The sequence below is a fragment of the Homo sapiens genome, chromosome 5, assembly GCF_000001405.40.
Source record: "Homo sapiens chromosome 5, GRCh38.p14 Primary Assembly".
Lineage (NCBI taxonomy): Eukaryota > Metazoa > Chordata > Mammalia > Primates > Hominidae > Homo > Homo sapiens.
In genome coordinates, this window is record NC_000005.10 from 29,061,503 (window position 1) to 29,084,035 (window position 22,533).

Here is a 22,533-nt window from a genome sequence, read left to right on the forward strand (position 1 = left end):
TCCACACCTGTGGAGAAGACTGTCATGGCATTTTAATGACTTAATAGAGCTTGCAGAAATGGAGGCTAGTGTGAATGTTAGCAATGATTAGTTCAAATTAGTGCCAGAGCTGTCAATTTCCAATTAGGAGATGTGTTTGTTCTTCAACAATGTACTACCACAAATTGGGTGTTTTGACACTGTTAATTCATCTTTTGCCACCTGATAGAAATAACTCAAATGGCTCCCAGTAATCTCTTCTACAACAGAGTTATTAAAGTTAGACCCAGCTGGATATCAAGTTTAAAACCAAAGAAAATACATTATTCTCAGGAATAAAAATATATGGGATAAAAGAATAATTATTTTTGGCAATACTCCCAATTTATGGTTTAACTGCATGTGAAGGATGTTAGAGTACATAGTTGAAAGCACTGAATGCTCTGTTTGATAGGGAATTCTGGTGTGGTTGATGTGATTAGATGAAAAGGAAAAATAGTAAAATTACAGTGCCCAGTGCAACTGAAAAACCAGTAAATACAAAATTTATCTTTCAATAAAGTAACAAACTATTTATTAATTTTTACACAGGAAGTGTGCAGAAAATTGGATGCAAGTTCAGAGAAAATATGAAAAAGAGGGATTGATAATAAAAAGAAAACATTTTAATTTATAAAGTCTATCCCTAAAGAAGATTATATCTGCTCTATTTCATAATATTAAGTACTACTTAATACCTTGCTTTATTGGATTTCACTTTATTGTCCTTCAAGGATACTGAGGGTTTTTTGTTGTTTTTTTTTGTTTGTTTGTTTTTAACAAATTAAACGTTTGTGGCAACTCTGACGGCTCCATTTTTCCAACAGCATGTGCTCAGTTTGCGTCTTTCTGTCACATTTTGATAACTCAAACTATTTTAAACTTTTTCATTATTATTATCTATTATGGTGATTTGTGACAAGTGATCTTTAATGTTACTAAGGTAATTGTTTGGGGCATCACAAACCACACCCATGTAAAACAGGAAATTTAATCTATAAATGTCGTTTGTGTTCCCAGTTTGCCACACACCAGCCTCTCCTCTGTCTCTCTTGCCTCAGGCCTTCCTATTCCCTGACACATGACATTATTGATATCAAGCCATTTAGTGACCCTACAATAGCCTGTAAGTGTTCAAGTGAAAGAAAGAGTCACATATCTCTCACTTTAAATCCAAAGCTTTGTGAAGAATGCCTGTCAAAAGCCAAGATAGAGGCCGGGCACAGTGGCTTACACCTGTAGTTCCAGCACTTTGGAAGGCTGAGATGGGCAGATCACTTGAAGCCAGGAGTTTGAGACGAGCCTGGCCAATATAGTGAAATCCCCTCTCTACTACAAATATAAAAATTAACTGGGTGTGGTGGCTCACACCTGTAATCCCAGCTACTCGGGAGGCTGAAGCACAAGAATCACTTGAAACTTGGAGGTGGAGATTGCAGTGAGCTGAGGGTGACACTCCAGCCTGGGTGACAGAAAGAGATTCTGTCTCAAGGGAAAAAAAAAAAAAAAGCCAAGATAGGCCAAAAACTAGATCTCTGGCAATAAATAGTGAGCCCAGTTGGGAATTTAAGAAAAAGATTTTGAAGGAAATTAAGATAAGCAAAAAAGTCTCATTGCTGATCCTGAGAAATTTTGAATGGGCTGGTTGGAAGATCAAATCCACCACAACATTCCCTTAAGCCAAAACCTAATCCACAGCAAGGTCCTAACTCTCTTCAATTCTATGAAGGCTTAGAGAGATGAGGAACGTACAGAAGAAAAGTTTGAATTTAGCAAGATTGGTTCATGAAGTACATGGAAAGAAGCAGTCTCCATAAGACAAAAGTCTTAGATGAAGTAGCAAGTGCTGATGTAGAAGCTGCAGGAAGTTATCCAGAAGACTTAGATATTTGATAAAGGTAGCTATACTAAACAAAAGATTTTCAATCTAGATTATACAGCCTTCTAATGGAAGGAGATGACCATCTTCTCAGAGCCAGCAAGGAGAAGTCAATGCCTGCCTTCAAAGCTTCAAAGAACAAGCTGACTATCTTGCTAGAAGCTAATGCAGCTAGTGACTTGAAGCAGAAGCCACTGCTCATTTACCTGTCAGGAAATCCTAGGGCTTTAAGAATTATGCTAAACCTATTCTGCCTGTACTCTGTAAATGGAAGAATAAGGCCTGGATCACAGCACATCTGTTTACAACATGGTTTACCGAAAATTTTAAGCCCACTGTAAAGATCTACTGCTCAGGAAAAAAAAAAAAAAAAGCCCTTTTTAAAATATTACTGTTTGCTGACAATGCACTTGACACCCAATCACTCCAATATCTAAGGATATTAACATTGTTTACATGCCTGCTAACACAACATTCATTCCTAATGGATCAAAGAGTAATTCTGAATTTCAAGTCTTATTATTTAACAAATACATTTTATAAGGCTATAGCCGCCACACATAGGGATTCCTGTAACAGATCTGGGCAAAGTACATTGAGCATCTTCTGGAAAGAGATCACCATTCTAGATCCATTAAGAACATTTGTGATAAGGGAGGAGGTCAAAATATCAACATTAATGGTAGTTTTAAATAAGTTGATCCCAACTATCATGGATAAGTTTGAGGGGTTTAAGACTTCAATGGAGGAAGTAACTGCATATGTGGTGGAAATAGCAACATAATTTGAATTAGAAGTGAAGCCTGAAGATGGGACAGAATTGCTGCATTCTCATAATAAAACTTGAATGGATGAGGAGTTGCTTCTTTTGGATGAGCAAAGAAAGTATCTTCCTGAGATGGAATCTAGTCTTGCCGAAGATGTGGTGAACATTATTGAAATGACAACAGAAGACATAGTTGGGGAAGCAGCAGCAGGGTTTGAAAGGATTGATTCCAATTTTGAAAGAAGTTCCACTGTGAGTAAAATGCTATCAAACAGGGCATGCTGTAGAGAAATAGTTCATGAAAGAGTCAATTGCTGTGGCAAACCCTACTGTTGTCTTATTTTAAGAAATTATCACAGCCAATCCCAAACTTCAGTAACCGCCACCCTCATCAGTCAACGGCCATCAACACTGAGGCAAGAACCTGTACCAGCCAAAAGATTATGAACTCACTGAAGGCTAAGATAAATATTAGCAATTTTTAGTAATAAAGTATTTTTAATCAAATTATGTATATTGTTTTTAGACACAATAATATTACACACTTAGTTGTTTTAGACACAATGCTACTGTATATTTAATAAGCTAATAAGCTACAGTTTAGTGTTAATATAACTAGTATATTCACTGGGAAACAAAAAGGTTTGTGTGACTTTGTGAATGGCAGAAGGGATCCGAGTTACTGGTGGTGAATCTGTATGGATCTGCAGCGACCTCAGTTCTTGCCTCCTCAGAAGAGTTTGACTGAAGGATGTAAGGCAGAAAAAAGAGACCGAGGCAAGTTTCAGAGCAGGAGTGGAAGTATATTAAAAAGCTTTAGAGCAGTAAAGAAAGGAAAGTACACTTGGAGGAGACCCAAGTGGGCACTGAGAAGGTCAAATGCAGCATTTTACCTTGATCCTAGGACTTTATAGAGCAGCCCACCTCTGGCGTCTTGTGCCCCTTTCCCATGAATCTTCCCTTAAGTTGGGCTGCCCACAAATGCAGTGCCCTCCTTACACTTGGGAAGTGAGCATGCGCAGTGTGCTTAGGAAGTTCTACGCATGTCCATCTGAGGCTTTCTTCCCTTTTTTTTCCAGTGGAGTGCCCCTGAAAGGTCATACTCCTCCATTTTGTCTTTTAATGTTGATGCCCCGGGAGTTACTTCTTCCTGGTATCTTCCTTCAATTAACACTTTAACGTGACAGCTGTGGACCATCAGGAGATTGTCGCTCCCTGGCAGTGACAGCCAAATTATCATTTTTAGAGAGGCAACGCGATAACTGTCAAATCATCCTCCAATAATCACCTTAGGGTCCTGGTGGGTTGGGGAGAGAGCCCTCTCCTCCCCTACTCATGGCCTGTCTAACTCTCTGCAACAAGTTGCTTTATTGCAATATTTGTTTTATTGTGTTGGTCTGGAACTGAACCTGCAGTATCTTTGAGGGTTGCCTGCATTAAAGAATTTCTATGGTATGGAACTGAGAAAACCTATAAAGAGAAGGGAATATATTTAACACTCAAAAGTTACATTTTCTGGAGGTAATAACAGACCAATAATACTAATAGCAATTATTTATGAACTTTTATCCATCTAAGATTGACATTGGTTTATTTTCACATATATTGTTCCACTTAATAGCTACAATTTCCATGCAAGTTAATTTTTAGTAGTATTATTTTTCATTTTACAGATAAAGGAAATCAAACTTAAAAAGTTACGTGAATGGTTTAAGAAAGCAAACTTCAGAAGAGCCCATGACCTTTAATAGAAATATCTATGTTCGTTTATTTAAAAACTATTCATAGTTGCTTAAGGTATTTTTTATCTTTAATAATACACATCAATTCATTTTCACAGGCTATATTCTACATTTAACAGTAACATTATTAGCTATTTATTGCAATATAACAAACTCATCCTAAAACTTAATGGCTTAGGGTTTTATGGGTTGGACTGAACTTAGCGAGACTAGTTCATTTGTGCTACTTAGCCTCACCTAGCATAGCTTGATTTGGGCTGGAAATTATACTTTCATAAAGGTTCACTCACTTAAATGGCAAGTGATGATAATTGTTAGTTGGGAGCTCAGCTGTGGCAACTGACCACAAGTCTCTGTTTTCTGCAGGTGATATCTCTTGATGTGATAGCTCTATTTTTCTTATAATATGGCAGTTGAATCCCAAAGAAAAAACAGTTTCACAGGACAATACCTCAAGTAAGATCTCTTATTTTCTCCTGTGACGCTCTCTAATGTCCCATTGACCAAAACCAGTCATATGAATAGGCTCACTGTGAAAGTGTGACAGGACTGCCCCAAGCATGAAATCTGGGAGACATGGATCATGGTGAGCATCAAAATAACATCAATATGAAAATATTTCTACAATTTTGGTGGGAAAGTGTAAGAAAAAGATATTTATTATTTATTCGTGGATGAACATTCAAGAGTAGTAAGAAACAAAGTGCTTCCTTCCATTATAACGCAAAATAAGCATTTAATAAGTACATTTAAAATGTTACTAATATGGAGTAAAGATTATGCTAGAGCCGTATGTCTAAAAATAATATTTTTAAAATGTGTAAGTGTAGTTTTTAAACATATGAGGTTTCTTCTCAGCAAGCAGACTAAGTAGCTTTATTGAGAATCTTACTGGGAAAACAAGAGAAAAATATCAAAAATGTACAATTAAACATTTTGAAAAAAATGTTCTTAATGGAATTGATTAAATACTGATATAGTTAGAAATATTTAAATACCAAAACTAAGTGAAAATAAAAATTCTATATCTGGCTTTTTCGTTAAGAATATTTGCAAATAGGGTAAATTTGAGTTTCAATTACCTTGACCTTGAGGCACACAGGGGCAGTTGGTAAAAGCCCGTGTCAGCCAATTTGAGGCAAACTACAAAGGTAGAAGCCAAAATTTCTTCCCCTTGAGTTATTAAATCCAAACTCAAAAAATCACATACACACACACACACACACACACACACACATACACACACACAAATGCAACAAAACCTCTGGACTGTGAGAAATGTATTTCTGCTCATTAAAAATTAGTCTCAGGTTTTCTGTTATAGCAGCATTTTGGTAATAACTAATAATAAAACAATACACTCTTGAGAATTCATAGCTATGTGATATAAGTATTATTTATAAGAACTAGTTTACAACTAAGATGTAATTCACTGTGAAATCAGAAAAAAGTATTAATGCCTAATTATTGGGAGTTATGACTGCATATTGTAACAATTTTGAACTGCTTGAGTTCAGTAAAAGAAGTCTTCATGGAAGTAAAGTAACTAACATCAAATTAGAGAAAATAATTCAGAAGCAAAACAATAACAAGTAACAGTGAACCTTCAGTACACTTCTCTGCATTAAAAATTATTTGTATATTTTAAAGACATAATTTAGAACTTCCTGACACTGCTGTAAAACATAGTCTACTGATCAGAAATATAAGTTTTCCACACATAATGCTTATCTTACTTGAAGAAAAATGTTTCAAGCAAAGATGTCTTTTATAACAAAAGACAGCCACCTAAGAAAAAGTAGAACACTTCTGTGGTTTGAATATGATCTTCAAAAAGCATGTGCTGGAGACTTAATTCCTAATACAGCAGTGTTGGGAGGTAGATCCTAATGAAGGGTGATTAGACTGTGAGGGCAGAGTGAATGAATCAATGTCATTATTGCAGGGGTAGGTTAGTTATAAGACGGGAAGTTCTGCAATCTCTCTCTCTCTCTCTGTCTCCTCTTCCCCTCTCTTTCCCTCTCTTTGCCCTTTCATGATCTGATACCTCCAATGTGTTATGAGGCAGCAATAAATTATTCACCAGATGCCAGCCCCTCAATTCTGGAATTCCCAGTCTCCAGGACTGTGAGAAATGGATTTCTGCTCATTATAAATTGCTCAGTCTCAGGTTTTCTGTTATAGCAGCATAAAATGGACTAAAACAGACACTATCTTGATTTATAGCTCTTTGCAATTATGTTTAATTATTTTGGAAATTTTGTTGCATTCACTGGTTTACCCTAGTGTATTAGTCCATTCTCACAATGCTATGAAACATTGAACTGCCTGTGACTCCGTAATTTATAAAGAAAAGAGGTTAAATTGAATCACAGTTCTGTAGGGCTGGGGAGGCCTCAGGAAACTTACAATCATGGCAGAAGGGGAAGCAAACATGTTATTTTTCACATGGCAGCAGGAAGGAGAAATGCCAAACAAAGAGGGAAAAGTCCCTTATAAAACCATCAGATCTCCTGAGAACTCACTCACTATCATAATAACAGCAGCATGGGAGTAACTGCCCCAGTGATTCAATTATCTTCCACTGAGTCCCTCCCAGGACACGTGGGAATTACGGGAACCTCAGTTCAAGATGAGATTTCAGTTAGGACACAGTGAAACCATACCATTCTGCCCCTGGCCCCTCCTAAATCTCATGTCCTCACATTTCAAAACACAATCATGCCTTCCCAAGAGTCTCCCAAAGTCTTAATTCATTTCAGCATTAACTAAAAAGTTCATAGTCCAAAGTCCATTCTGAGACAAGGCAAGTCCCTTCTGCCAATGAGCCTGTAAAATTGAAAGCAAGTTAATTATTTCCTAGATACAATAGGGATACAGGCATTGGGTAAATACAGCCATTTCAAATGGGAGTGATTGGTCAAAACAAAGGGGCTACAAGCCCCATGCAAATCTGACATCCAGCAGGCATTCAAATCTTAAAGCTCCAAAATGACCTCCTTTGACTCTATGTCTCATATCCTGCTCACATTGATGCAAGAGGTGGGCTCCCATGGCCTTGGACAGCTCCACCTCTGTGGCTTTGCAGGGTACAACCCCCTTCCTGGCCGCTTTCACAGACTGGCATTGAGTGTGTGCTGATTTTCCGGGTGTACAGTGCAAGCCATCGGTGGATCTCCCATGCTGGGGTCTGAAGGATGGTGACCCTCTTATCACAGCTCCGCTAGGCAGTGCCCCAGTGAGGAGTCTGTGTGGGGACTCTGACCCTACATTTTCCTTCTGCACTGCCCTAGCAGAGATTCTGTTTCTGTTTATCCTACTCTGTGTGGGCCAGGCCCAGGGCTCCCTGCTCTATGCAGCTTAGAGATATTGTGCCCTGCATCCCAGCTGCTTCAGCTCCAGCCATGGCTAAAAGGGGCCAATGTACAGCTCAGGCCGTTGCTTCAAAGGATGCAAGCCTCAAGCCTTGGTGGCTTACATGTGGGGTTAGACCTGTGGGTGCACAGAAGACAAGAATTGAGGTTTGGGAACCTCCACCTAGATTTCAGAGGATCTATGGAAATTCCTGGATATCAAGCCAGAAATTAGCTGCAGGGGCAGAAACCTCATGAAGAATATAAGGTTATTTTTATTTATCTTTTTATGTGATCCATATTTTTTCTCTCTCTCTCTCTCTGTCTGTACTTTCCTCCTTCATTCTCTCAAATTGCAGGTTATTCTTTTTCTCTCCAGTGTGCTAAACTTTCTTTACTTCCTGCCCTAGAAAAAGTCTATATTCTTGCCCAGGTTTAGGGCCTCAGTGGACCCTGAATTAGGAAATGTTCTTTAGTCCTGACCTATTTTCATGATCTCATTAAGGGTTTTCTACACTGTTTTCTTTTTGGAAACAATGTATAGGTTTATGCGTAATCTGTTCATAGGAATGGTGCATTAAGGAGGGGCCTCACTGACAGTCTCTTCAGTATTTCATTTTGGGCTGGTCAGTTTCTCTGGGAACTATTCCCGAAAGGTCTTTGTTTGATAGTAGAGGACAGGGTGAAAATAAAGATGGGCATTGGCTTTCAGTTTGCATGCATAATGAAGATTTCTGCTTTTGGCCTGTTACCTCTGCCTACAAAAGTGTCTGAATTCCCCTCATTAATAAGTCCTATTCTTTATCATCTCCAGAGAACAAATTGGCATTCTTCTCTCTGTTTGAGGGACTGTTAGACATGTGGCTGAATGCAGTGGAGGAAGAAACTCAGGATGCTGCTCATTCTTGAATAGGTTTTAAGTGACTATCCTAATTTTGTGACCCCTGGGTTATCACTACTTTCAGAGGTATCAGACGCTTTTAATTCATGAATCTTGTAAGTATTCTGTATTATAAATATATACACTTGATTATTAATCTTCCCCACTGCCAATTTAGAATTTCCATTTTATAGCTTATTTCACTACTAATTTATTTACTTTTCATTGTTCAACATTTCATTATTTTTTAAACAATCATTCCTTGAAGATAAGAAATTTGTCTTAAAGATCAACATTTATTTTACTCTCAAAAGCAACTCTAGTTTTGTGATACGTTAAGATTATACAGTTTGTGGAGGAGGTCCATTTTAAAAAAGAATAGATTGGAAATGCCTCATAGAGTAACTCTGTGGTTTTATTTTACCCACAGGACTATGGTTAAATATGTGGGAAAGAACTACAAGACAGTTGTTAAAAGTATGAAAAAGACAGTTGCTAAATGTATGAAAGACCTTTTTTACCTTAAGTATTGGCATATTCCACACGTCTGTACTATTCTTGAGTGAGCTCGCTTAAGAATGAATATGACTTGAACTCATTCATGTTTAGAGAGGATGTCAAATTGAGAACCAGGTGTATCTACCAACACTAAAAATGACCCTAAAGTAAATTGGTTGAAGAAATTAGATCTCAAAGATTCTTGGTGAATTTTTAAGTCTTCATCCGTATATCCATATTCAAAGGAGATGACAGAAGCCAAAATAAAAGAATTATGGGCTGACAGGACAACTGGAATAAAATAAGTATCAGTTTCATTAAAAAGGGCTAACTTGAAGATAAATCTTTTGAAGATAAATTTTAACTCCAGCTCTTTAGAGGATCTAAAGTGACCTTAATGGACAGTGGAAGAATCACAACATAGAATTCCTCGAATAAAAATTTATTGACTTTAAATAAAAATAAATAAATAAATAAATAAAATAGAAATAAAATAGGAAATTTCATACAGAATCTTGAAAGCAGTTCATGCAATTTATATGCCCTAAAGTTTAAGATTAACTAGCTTCATGATAAATGTATTTCTGATTCTAGTGTCAATTGTTTGGGGAGGACGATGAATTAGATGCTTATTTTCAGCTTGCCCTCATTATTCAGAAGTCTGATTTGAATCACTTTGTAAGTGTGCTCACTCAAAAATATCATGTTTTGAAACCGTTCATTTTTTGTATTTTTTTTGGTTATTGGATATTAACATATAACTAGAATATAATTTTAATGGCCTTAGGCCTTTACATAACACCTAAAATAAATTTAGCCTCATTTCCTCTATCATATATGCAAACTACTTTCAGCATGGTAAAACTTATTGTCTCACAGAATACAAGTAAGTATCAAGCCCATACAATTACACAAATATACATAATATACGAGTGTATAAATGCCAAAGAGAAAAAAAAATATGAAAATGAGGAAAAGGAAAAACTTGCAGAGAAGGTATAATTTTAAAGGGATCCAATACATCTAAAAAATGTGGTATTTAACAATCAGTCAATTGGTTTCTAGACATAAGCAATTCCATGAGAAACAATAGTAAGTGTAAAGGCCCTAAGGCAGGAGCTATTTGATGTATTCCAGAGACAATGAGGAAGTCAATGTAGATGAAGAGCAGTAGCAAAGGTGTCTCAAATGAGAGAAGGCAAGATCAGAGTTGTAAGAACAGGGGCGGAAGGGCAAATATGTGGCATCATCTATGTAGCATAAGTGTAGGCTATTCTATGGATTTTGGCTTTGAGACATACTGTTAACTATTTAAGGGTTTGTTCATAGATTAAACATTTAATTTGAGATATTTGTCATGAATAATTCCAAGATTTTTTGAAGAAATGTGTCCAAAGTCATGCAAAGGAAGACGGAATATGTGTGTATAGATGAGAAAATGAATTTAAAAAATTAGAAAAGAAAATTAAGTGACATATTTGGAATGATTAGTAAAATGACTAGCACAGAAAGAAGCAAAACTACTATACTTGTGGCATAAATAAAAATGAACATAAACATAAATATGAATAAAATTGCTTAGCTCCATAAAAAAGTAACAAATTTAAATAAGCACAAAATATGTCATTTTCAAATAAGACAAAATATTATATATCTCCACATAAAGTTATGTGGACTCATCTTGAAATCTTTTATCTTTTCATCTTTATTTGAAATTTAGAAATTCTAATTCTAATTCTTACATGTATTTCTTCTTTAGAAAAAGCTTACTGATTTCTGTAAGTTAATAGGAACCCTCTGTCTCTCTGTCTCTCTTTCTTTTTCTATAGACACATATAAAATACACACAAATATTTTACTTGTATATGCATGTACCAATAAATTATATGGTTTCATCTTAAAGTGTCAAAAAAGCTGCAGTGAATTTTAATAAAATTAGATGTTTACTATTTATTTTATTTTATTTTAAATTGACAATAGTTGTATATATTTATGGGGCACAATGTATTGATTTGATACATGTAAGTATGGTGAAATAATCTAATCAGGCTAACTAACATGTACATCACTTCACATAGTTGTCATTTGTTTGTAGTCAGGGCATTAAAAACCCACTTTAATTATTTTGAAATACACTATAATATATTCAGTAACTATAAATATAATTTAGTATTATAGTATAGTTAACTATAATTTAACTAAAATTATTAACTATAGTCACTATGCTGTGCAATACATAAACAGAACTTATTTCTCCACAGGACAATAATGCAAGTTTGTTGAACAATTTTTGCTGAAGCACCCCCCAAAACCAAAAACAAATATTTAACTACATGGATATTGGGAGTACCAACAAACTCATATAATGTAGAAGACCATAGAATAATTTGTACAAATTGAAAGATGATACGGGAACTTGACAATGACATTGCCTTTAATGTTAAACATGATGCAGAATTCAAAAAAGATTATGGAAAGGTTGTATTAATTTCAGCAGAGATGGAAGGATTTGGACATATTGTTTGGTACTGTCATATGAGATACAAAATCAGAAGAGGGAAAATAATAAAGACCAATGAAATTTAGAACATTATACACTTTTTGAATTTTAGGAAAAAAAATACTGCCAACATAAATCAGAAAAAGAGCATTAAAAAACCTATTTATATTATTATTTCACAATTACAAAATGGAGTAGGACTATCTGTGCATAAAAATATGTCAAGAAAGTGATTCAATCTATAAAAAGAAAACACGCTAACTTTATATAATTTGTCAGAAAAGTGGCATACTAAAGACAATAGAATTGTATACTTTGAAAAAAGATATTCAAGAAAAAAGAAAGAAGACATTATTACTTTCAAGGAAACCGAAACAATTCCTGGAGGTATTATGGATGAAACAAAGCTTCGTGTTGTGTTCTAGATTTAGAAACTGACAGAAGCACTTTGAATTTGACTCAGTTTTATAATATACTGCAGCTGAAAAACACTGAGTTGTCACAAATGTAAAAATTTATACTGAATTTTTATTGTATATAATAAAAAAGTTTGGTTGGGAGAAATAAAAAAAAAACTCAACAAGTTAAATATAAATTTAGCCAGATCTGAAATTATCAAAAAAGTTAAAATTTGTGCAACATTATTATTCATGTTTTTTGACTTCCCATAATTATCTTAAATATGTTAAGAAATGTTGAGATCTACACAAGATATACGTTAATATTTCATATTGGTAAAGACGGTATATGTCAAAAAATTATTTGATGTGGTCCAGACAATAGTACATTTCATAACACAAGGCAACAAAATTTATACCACTCATGATAAAGGAAATGATATGGTGGTAGATAATTTTCTTGAATATTTTACTTCACCCTAAATGTTTTAAAAATAGGATTTTTGTTTAGTTCTCTGAAACATATTACATAGCTTTTATTTAATCGGCATAGAGAACAAATTTAAGACACAGTACCTAATTAGGTGAATTAATTTTAATTCCACATGAATCCTTTAATTTCTTTTTTAATGAAAACTCTACCATAAAGAAAAACATAATTATTTAGTTATACTTTCCTCTAAAATTGGTCTATTATTATTTGGTTTTCTTACAATGAAACCAGAAATATATATAATAAAATACATGAGGCCGGGCGCGGTGGCTCACGCCTGTAATCCCAGCACTTTGGGAAGTCGAGGCAGGCAGATCACCTTGGGTTAAGAGTTTGAGAACAGCCTGGCCAACATGGTGAAAACCCGTCTCCACTAAAAATACAAAAATTTTCCGGGCGTGGTAGTGGGCGCCTGTAATCCCAGCTACTAGGGAGGCTGAGGCAGGAGAATTGCTTAAACCCGGGGGGGCGGATGTTGCAGTGATCTGAGAAGCTGAGATTGTGCCACTGCACTCCAGCCTGGGTGGCAAAAGTGAAACTCGGTCTTGGAAAAAAACAAACAAAAAAAGCATGAATGATGAGGAAAAAGTGATCAGTACAGTGAATGAAAGAACTGAGGAAAAAATAAAGGGACACATTATCTGTAGCTTGAACAATCAATTTTCAGGGGAAAAATGCTCCTTTATAAGATTGATCATAAGACCTAGCCTTGTGAAGCTATATTGAATATCAAATATAAAGAAATAGTAGCATTCAGGCAAAGAAAATAAAATTTTCCTCAAAGTCTTTTTTTAGTAGTTTTAGGTGTCAGAAAAGCAGATAAAAAAATTTCCTAAATCAAATAAACAATTACTAGAACCGAGTAAATTTAAACTTTACATAATACAAAGTTAATGTACAAAATTTAATTGAATTTTTATATCCTGGAAATAAATCAAATATGTAAACATCTGATAAGGGGATTTAAAATGACAGTAGTTTTGAGATTCAATAAACATTGCCCCAGAATATTATACCTGAGACAAAAGGTCAGTAGAGCCAATAGCCAAGATCTTACACCAAATTATATTAAAATGCATTTGCAACATACACCTATTATAGGTTATATATTTCTCTGTAACTAGAAAACCAAAATGTGTGTATGCTCAGGCTAAGTATAACATTGTTTTCTAAAGAACAGAGTTAGCTTTGCCCAGTCATAAATTCACTTCCTTCCCAGAGCATCAAAATATTAAAATAAGCAAGAATTATCAACTTGGCCTTAAAGATCTCTATTAGAATGTTTCTGAAATCAAAATCCTAGAAAATCCAGCCACCAAATTATAGTAAGCTTCACAAAGTTTGGTATTATGGACACCCACACAAAATTGTGTCCTATTTTTCTTGCCCAATCCCCCCTAAGTTTGCTGGCCAGTGTCCCAGAATATCTTCTGTGCATATCTCAGATGCTGGTACAATTCTGGCTTCAGGTTGTAGCTATGGATGACCATAAGTTCCAAAAACCAAGAATAATAGCAGCTTGGAGATGAGTTTTAGCATCCAGACTCGGATGTCTCTTGGAGTATATGTCATTTAGGATGCTTTATATCATGTAACAAGAAATAAAAAATGACAAGAAGTGTTTTAAAATAAGGTAAATTTATTATTTCAATTAACAGGAAGATTTAAGAAGGGAGCAATTTTATGGCTACTTAACTAAAACTTCATAAAGATCATCAAGAAATCATCAACATCCTCAAGGAAGGGTGATATGGTTTGGCAGTGTCCCCACCCAAATCTCATCTTGAATTGTAATCCCCATAATTTCCAAGTGTCTAGGGAGAGACCTGGTGGGAGGTGATTGGACCATGGAGCCATTTTCCCCTATCCTGTTCTTCTGATAGTGAGTGAGTTCTCATGAAATCTGATGGTTTTATAAGGGGCTCTTCACCCTTCGCTCTTCACTCCTCTCTCCTGCCACCATGTTAAAAAGGTCCTTGCTTTCCCATTGCCTTCCTCCATGATTAAAGTTTTCTGAGGCCTCCCCAGTTATGCAGAACTGTGAGTCAATTAAACCTCTTTCCTTTATAAATTACCCATCTCAGGTAGTATTTTTATAGCAGTGTGAGAATGGACTACTACAGATAGATTATATCAATTATTCTCCTCTGCCATTCTTCACAGGTTGGCTCTTAATAATTCATTCTTCATATGGGAAAATCTAAGGCCATAGGAGAAGAGAACATATTCTTTCCACATGTCTTTTTTTTAGAGAAAAGAAAACTTTTTTAAGTCTCTCACACCCCAGCAGATTATTTCAACTGTTAACAATACCTGTCAAAAATCTACAGAGATATGCAAAATGCCCGTGGGTTATCAATAAATTGAGAGCATAAGGAATATATGTATAATATGCTTTTAAATTAGGAAAATAGTAATTTTCCATCCATTGAGATATTTTTAAATACCAAAAGATTGAATGTACTCAAAACAATATTTTAGGCCTTTTGTTATATTGACAAGAGCAAAGAAATTCATTCTTTGCAGTTGACATTTCTAACTCCTGTTATGAATTCTTGTTTTATAATGGTATTTTAAAAGGATGTCAGTTTTAAGTTATCCTTTGTTGATTTAATTCAAACTGCTAGGCATTTCAATTTTGTATTTATTTTTCTCTTCTTTTTGTATAACACTTTATGGTGCTATAGATATGTTTGGTGCACCCAAAATGAAAAAAAAAGTTGGTGACTCACTTAGTATAGATATTCCATCTTTCAAAATTAGACTGCATATTAAAGCTTTTTAAATGAACTTATGTAATGCTGAATTGCTCATTCAAATGTAGTATTCAATTTTATGAACCATATATGTTTGGCTAACATCTGGAAAACTGCTCCAGCCTAGCAGCCCTCAGTGTGAAATTTAAGTGGTTGGTACCATCTACCAATTCACAAGCTTCTTCTCTTAATATTTAAGTACTTCTAAAACTACAGATTTTTAACTGTATTATTTAAGAAGAATCAAGAATCTTACTTAATATTAAGATTTAATATTAAGATTATCTCAAGCAATAATAAGAGACGATAATAGCAAATATTATAAGATATTACATGCTTACAAGGTAACCTATGTTGTTTTAAATGCTGTGGGTGTCATCTCAAATCATCTTCCCCAAATGTAAGTGCAATGGGTTTATATTTTTATGTTACATTTTGATTTTATTTTATAAATTTTACTTATATAGATGGTATTACAGATTTCCCCAGAGTCATATAAGGTGTTTCTGCTCACTGGAAGGCTTTCCCTTCATCAGTGTCCTTCAGGGATATCCCAGAAAGGGGCTGTAGTGCTTCAGCTGTACACTTTCAGGAGTGCCAGCATGTCACATAGGACCAAGTATAAACCAGGCTCAAGTCTCCTCTTCCTTTGTCAACTGGTCATAGGAAATTCCTAATGAAGCAATAGGTATGGGCTGGAAGAGAAAACAGTGCAAGAGAGGAAGGGGACATGGGTGAATTTTCTACTTGTACACGCATCCTATTTCTTCCTTCGGGGCCAGCTTGGGCCCTACCTCATGTATATCACTTTGATTTGATAATGCTGTGTTGCTGTGCATGCTCATATTTATGGCTTGACTCACCAGACCACACCCTATTCATGATGAGCGACTCAGGCTTCCATCTCCACTGAGGCCCAGCAGCAAGCCAAAAACCGTTTCTCAAATGGAGAGCAGTTTTCTGCATAAGATGACAAGACTTTTTTCCCCAAATTCTAAGGTCCTTCATGGTGATTCAACTATTGTGGCCTACCAGAAGCTCTAAACAGTATTAGTGTCTTCCACGAACATTTCAAGTATCACTGGATCTGCTGGATCTTACAACCCAAGTTTTAAAGCATTTTTAATGACAGCCTGAGCCTTTTGCAGAGCCGTCTCTTTGTCTAAGCCTCACTCAAAGTTTGCTTTTAGGGGTTATGCAATAAACAGAGCAGAGTAAAACATTCAAATGAGGAATATATTGTCTCTAGAGTTCAAAGGGAATTACTAGGCATTTTTTCCCTCGTGTGTGTGTGTGTGTGAGAGAGAGAGTGTATGTGTGTGTGTGTATGTGTGTTAGGAGGGACCAGAGGGAACAACCTATCATTTGCATTAAAAGGAATATCGCAACATTGTCCCCACTACTGAACCCCAACAAATTTTGGTGAGGTAAAATTCCCCTCAATTTTTGTAGGATTTATTTCTCACCTTCTGACATACAAGCTTCATACAAATATGTCTAGAGGTAGTTGCTATTTTCTGCTTACCAAGTCCAATCAGTATAATACCATCAATGAAAAGGATCCATATTAAGTCCTCTGGAAGGGAAAAATGATCAAGGTCTCTGCAGACTAAATTATTACAAAGGGCTGTAGAGTTTATATCCCCTTGGGGGGTTGGTCTCGCCACCTTAAAAAACAAACAAACAAGCAACAACAACAACCAAAAAAAAAAAAAAAAAAAACAAAAAACACAGCGTCTTGTGGTATTTACCAAGAGATAGAAAGAAAAGAAAAGCATTTGCAAGATGAATAGTTGTATGTCAGTAACTGGGGACATGTTGTCCAAACAACAAATTCTACATCTGGAACAGAAGCTACACTTAGAGTCACCTGAGTAAATTCACAATAATTCACTGTCATTCTCCAGGATCAATTTCTTTTCTGCACAGGCCAAATAGGCAAGTTAAATAGGTAAGTTGAAAATATTGTGGGAATAACCACCTCTGCATCTTTCAAGTCCTTAATGCACTAGTTTCTATAATCCATTCAGAATGTGGTGTTGCTTTTCACTTACTGTTTTTTGTTTGTTTGTTTGTTTTAGGCAGAGATAATTCTGGGAGTTCCCACACAACATTTCCCACCATAGTAGCCCTCTGTACAAGTCTGGGAATGAAAGTGGTGCTTCTGCCAGTTGCTGAGTATGTTTATTTCAATTATGCATTCTGACACTGGGAAAATAATCATGTGATGGGTTTGGGGACATAATCTAAAACTCCATTAATCACCTGACTTTCATAAACCTTTATTCTGAATACTGAACCATAGTAATGTCTCCAGGAATTAGTTATCAGCTGAGAACTAGTGTTCAGTAATCAATAAAAAGTCTGATCATTTCCCTTTCCCCAATGCACAGTCACCCCACTCAAAGGCTGTGAGTTAGTTTGGAGAGGCTGGGAGAGATTACCACTCTAAATTTGTTTTGAGGACTCAAATCAGTCTTTTGTTCACTAGACCTAGAATTCGGATTATGCAAACTAGTGAAGAATTCATTATAGTATCTGTCTATTTTCTAGGAACAGTAACATCAAACAACCATTGCTACAGGTCTCTTTATGGGTCAAACGATCCTGATTACTCTTTTGGTTCTGATGTCCATCATGGTAACAGCACCCACTGCATCTTTGGTGATTAAGTGCCACCATTTGATGCTAACACCCTGCGATTCTATTATTCCCGTTACAACTGGGGATTTTAGCTCAGTGGGAACCCAGCAGTTCTCACTGTAACTTCCCACTTACAAAGGAGATTAGAAACAGAATGCTTCAAAAAATTTGGGAGCTTCTCTCATGAATTTAATACTGACTGCCTTGGTGAAAAGTGTCCTGGGGACTCCTCCAAAGAGAAGCAAGTCTTAATTGATATATCCGTTGTAACATTTCATTTCCCTAAGCCTTTGGTTACATTCTTTTACAGAATACAAAGACAATTTTAATTTTTTAACTTAGAGTTGACCATTTTCTTTGTGTTGCTAGAAAGGGATACCTGTGGCTGAGGCTGGGTAATTTATAAAGAAAATAGACTTATTTGGCACAAAGTTCTGTGGGCTGTACAAGAAGCATAGTGTCAGCATCTGCTTTGGGTGAGGGTTTCTAGAAGCTCCCCCTCCTGGTGGAAGGTGGAGGAGTGGCGGCATCACAGGACCCTATGGTGATAAAAGAAGGAAAAGAGAGAGGAGGGAGGTGGCAAGCTATATTCAACAACCAGCTCTCGTGGGGGTGGGGACACTTGCATGAGTTAATAGAGCAAGAATTCACTCATTACCTTGAGGATGGCACCAAGCCATTCATGAGGAATTCGCTTCCATGACTTAAATTCCTCATTTTAGGTCCCACCTCCAACATTGGGGATCAAATTTTAACATCAGATATGGAAGGGATTAAATATCCGAACAATATCACTCACCTTGTGCCCATGTAACAGACAACAACCCAAATGGTTAGAGCCCTTCTAATTCTTCAACTTACAAAATTTATTAATATGGGGTCCATTATTGGGAACCCATATTAATAAATTTAGGTTGAATCTACTTTAAATTCGGTCCACATTAATCCCCCATTCTTAAAATCTATTTCTAGATATATTCTCCAGATTCTGTCTGTATAATTTGGCAAAATCATGTAATCCTGTCAGTGTGTAGTATACCTTGTTCTTTGGAGACTGCCTAGACTTGAGTGTAGTTATAGGTCTCAAAGCAAAGAGGTATGATGGAGTGTGATATGGTTTGCCTCTGTGTCCACATCCAAATCTCATATTGAATTGGAATCCCCATGTGTCTAGGGAGGGAACTGGTGGGAGGTGACTGGATCATGGGGGTGGATTCCCCTCCCCTGCAACATCTTCTTATAGTGAGTGAATTCTCATGAGATCTGATGGTTTCTAAGTGTGACACTTTCCCCTTTGCTCTCTCTGTCCTGTCGCCATGTAAAACGTGGCTTGCTTTTCCTTTGTCTTCCACCATGATTGTAAATTTCCTGAGGCCTCCCTAGCCATGCAGAACTGTGAGTCAATTAAACCTCTTTTCTTTATAACTCACCCAGTCTCAGGTAGTTCTTTATAGCAGTTTGAAAACAGACTGATACAGGGTGGGTGCTGAGGAGAATCAGCAGTGCCTTCTAAGGCAACTACCTCAGAAAAGGCCATTAGAGATTTATCAGGCAATCAAGGACTAACTTCCCCTGGCAAGGGTGGAGGGGTTGCATCTGTAGGCAAAAAAGACTTATCAGAATATGAAGGTGCAATAACCCAGGCTCATTAGGACCTGCCCCTATGTTTCAATTCCAATTTGTGATATCCTGTCCTTCTCAATCAATACACTCGCTTTAACAGAAGACACCCTGCCATGTTGAAAATAGAAATTATATTGTGATTCAGCCGCTAGAGAATTAGATTCTAGGTTTAGTTTTCAGAAATCTTAGCCCTCTGGTTATAGGATATGAGTTTCTGTCAGGGCCGAAATAGCTTCTATGTCATATATATGGGGGTTGAGCTAGGAATTTTAGTCCCTCAGCTCCTTGTTTTCTTTTTCAACTTTGTCCAGCTGAATTAGGAACAACCATCAGGCTGGATGTGATGACTCATGCCTGTAATCCTAACATTTTGGGAGGCTGAGGCAGGCAGATCACTTAAGCCCAGGAGGTCAAGACCAAGACCAGCCTGGGCAACATGGTAAAACTCTGTCTCAACAAAAATATAAACAATTATCCAGTCATGGCGTTGCATGCCTCTAGTCCCAGCCACCTAAGTGGCTGAGGTCAGAGGATCGCTTGAACCTGGGAGGTGGAGGCTGCAGTGAGTTGTGATTGCACCACTGCACTCCACCCTTCCAGCCTGGGTGACAGAGTGAGACGTTGTCAAAAAAAAAAAAAAAAAAAAAAAAAGGCAGTCTACTATACTCACTAGTTTCACTAGTTTGACAAAAATTTTCTCAAGGCACCAAATATGGGGCCACCCATCACCTCATAAGTATTTGGCTAAGTGTAGCCAATGGATACTTTTAAGAATATTTTGGGTATCGCTGTTGCCACAAAACACCATACAAACTTTCTCTTTCCCATTAAAATCAGGATCATTAGTGCCTTCAAATCTAATCAGAAAAACCAGTTCTCACACAGAGCCAATTCAAACCTCATCCTTAACATTTTCTTCATTTAGAACAACCCTTGGCCGGGTGCAGTGGCTCACGCCTGTAATCCCAGCACTTTGGGAGGCCGAGGTGGGCAGATCACGAGGTCAGGAGATCGAGACCATCCTGGCCCACATGGTGAAATCCTGTCTCTACTAAAAATACAGAAAAAAAAAAAGAAAAATTAGCCCGGCGTGGTGGCGGGCGCCTGTTATCCCAGCTGTTCTGGAGGCTGAAGCAGGATAATCACTTGAACCCAGAAGGCAGAGGTTGCAGTGAGCAGAGACTGCACCACTGCACTCCAGCCTGGCGACAGAGGGAGACTCCATCTCAAAAAACAAACAAACAAACAACACACACACACACACACACACACACACTCACACAAAACTACTCTCAGTACCAAAGTCTGTGTCTGTCAAGTTTCTCTAGGTCTATCAAGAGAAGTATACTAAGGTATTTATTGCAAGAAATGATTACATAATTGTGGGAGCTGGCCATGAGGAAGAGCTTGCTTGATCTTCTAGAAATAGGTCGAAGCTGTTGCCCATAGGCAGAATTTCCTCTTCACTAGGGAAGTCCTAACTCTCCTTTTAAGACCTTTTCGCTGACTGAATCAGGTTCATCCAGACTATCTAGGATAATATTTCTTAAATAAATGGATTATGATTATCTGATTATGGAATGTAATCACATGTACAAAGTATACCTTCAAAGCAACACCTAAATTAGTATTAGATTGAATAACTGAGAATTTTAGCCTAGACAAGTTGATGCATCAAAATGACTATTACATTAACCAACAGGAATTGCATGTAATTTGTGTTCAGAGGTAATTTTCTTCAGAAAATAAATAACATATATTCTCCGCTGAGAAGTTCAGGTTATATCCTGTGAAAGATGAAGAGATGATAAAAAATTTTAGGCAAGAAAATTGCCAAGATTTGAGCTCATTTTGTAATGATAACTCTGAGCCCTTTGTAGTTAATGCCAAGAGGCTTCTCTAATAAAAAGCCTAAAATATAAATGTTAGAACCATCAGAATAGAAGTTGTAGGAGGTGTAAACCATGGGAATGGGTAATAATCACTCATGAAACACATTTTAAATAAGATTATATTTAAAATCACTTCTTGAGTTCTTAGAATATGTTTAAAACTATGTTAGGATTTAAAAATGCTAACTTGATAAAAATCCTGTTCTTGACTATAGAAGCTGACAGTGCAGTGGCACTAAATTTGGAAAGAGGAAACTGCGAATACAAAAAACTGAATATAAAGTGATTGAGATATGCATGGAGTAATGTAAGTGCAGCAAAGGGCTGTTGGTGTGCAGGGGACAAGGCAAGTTCCAGAAGCAAGACTAATACATTGAATAAGATAAGAGGGCCTGGGGCAGGAACACTCTTTTTAACAAAATAGACTAAGTCAAAGAAATTGAAATTCAATATTTAGCTTGAATGCCAGGGGAACTGAGAAAAACCTAGTAGGGAATAATGTTACAGAAACTAAGAAAGGCCATTTTGAAGAATAAATTAATGGACCACAGATTTAATAGTGCAGCAAGGTCAAGTGAGACAGGAACTGAAAGGAATTTATTATATTTTAAAAATAAGAGGAAATGGCCAGGCATGGTGGCTCACGCCTGTAATCCTAGCACTTTGGGAGGCTGAGGAGGGCGGATCCCAAGGTTAGGAGTTCGAAACCAGCCTGGTCAATATGGTGAAATTTCATCTCTACTAAAAATACAAAAATTAGCTGGGTGTAGTGTGCGTGCCTGTAATCCCAGCTACTCAGGAGGGCGAAGCAGGAGAATTGCTGGAACCCAGGAGGCAGAGGTTGCCGTGAGCTGAGATTGCACTACTGCACTCCAGCCTGGGCAACATAGTGAGACTCCATCTCAAAAAAATGAATAAATAAATAAATAAATAAATAAATAAATAAATAAATGGTAATTTGTTAACTGGGAAAACAGTTTTATTAGAAACGTAGAGGGTAGAAGTTCTACTATAGTAAGTTGAGGAGTTAATGGAAGATCAGAAAAATGACTAACATTTGCAGACTCTAGAAACTTGGCTTTAAAACAAATT

General features: G+C 36.5%; 1 long non-coding RNA gene and 1 pseudogene across 1 annotated transcript; both read left to right on the top strand.

The window, feature by feature from the left end:
* The first annotated feature begins 3,741 nt into the window (after positions 1-3,741).
* Positions 3,742-11,721, top strand: LOC101929645 (uncharacterized). The gene is made up of 4 exons (NR_109948.1): positions 3,742-4,115; positions 4,337-4,460; positions 4,772-8,754; positions 11,398-11,721. It is a non-coding gene; the product is annotated as an uncharacterized LOC101929645 (long non-coding RNA).
* On the top strand, positions 8,994-9,108 carry LOC124900206 (uncharacterized; annotated as a pseudogene).
* Positions 11,722-22,533: the final 10,812 nt, after the last annotated feature.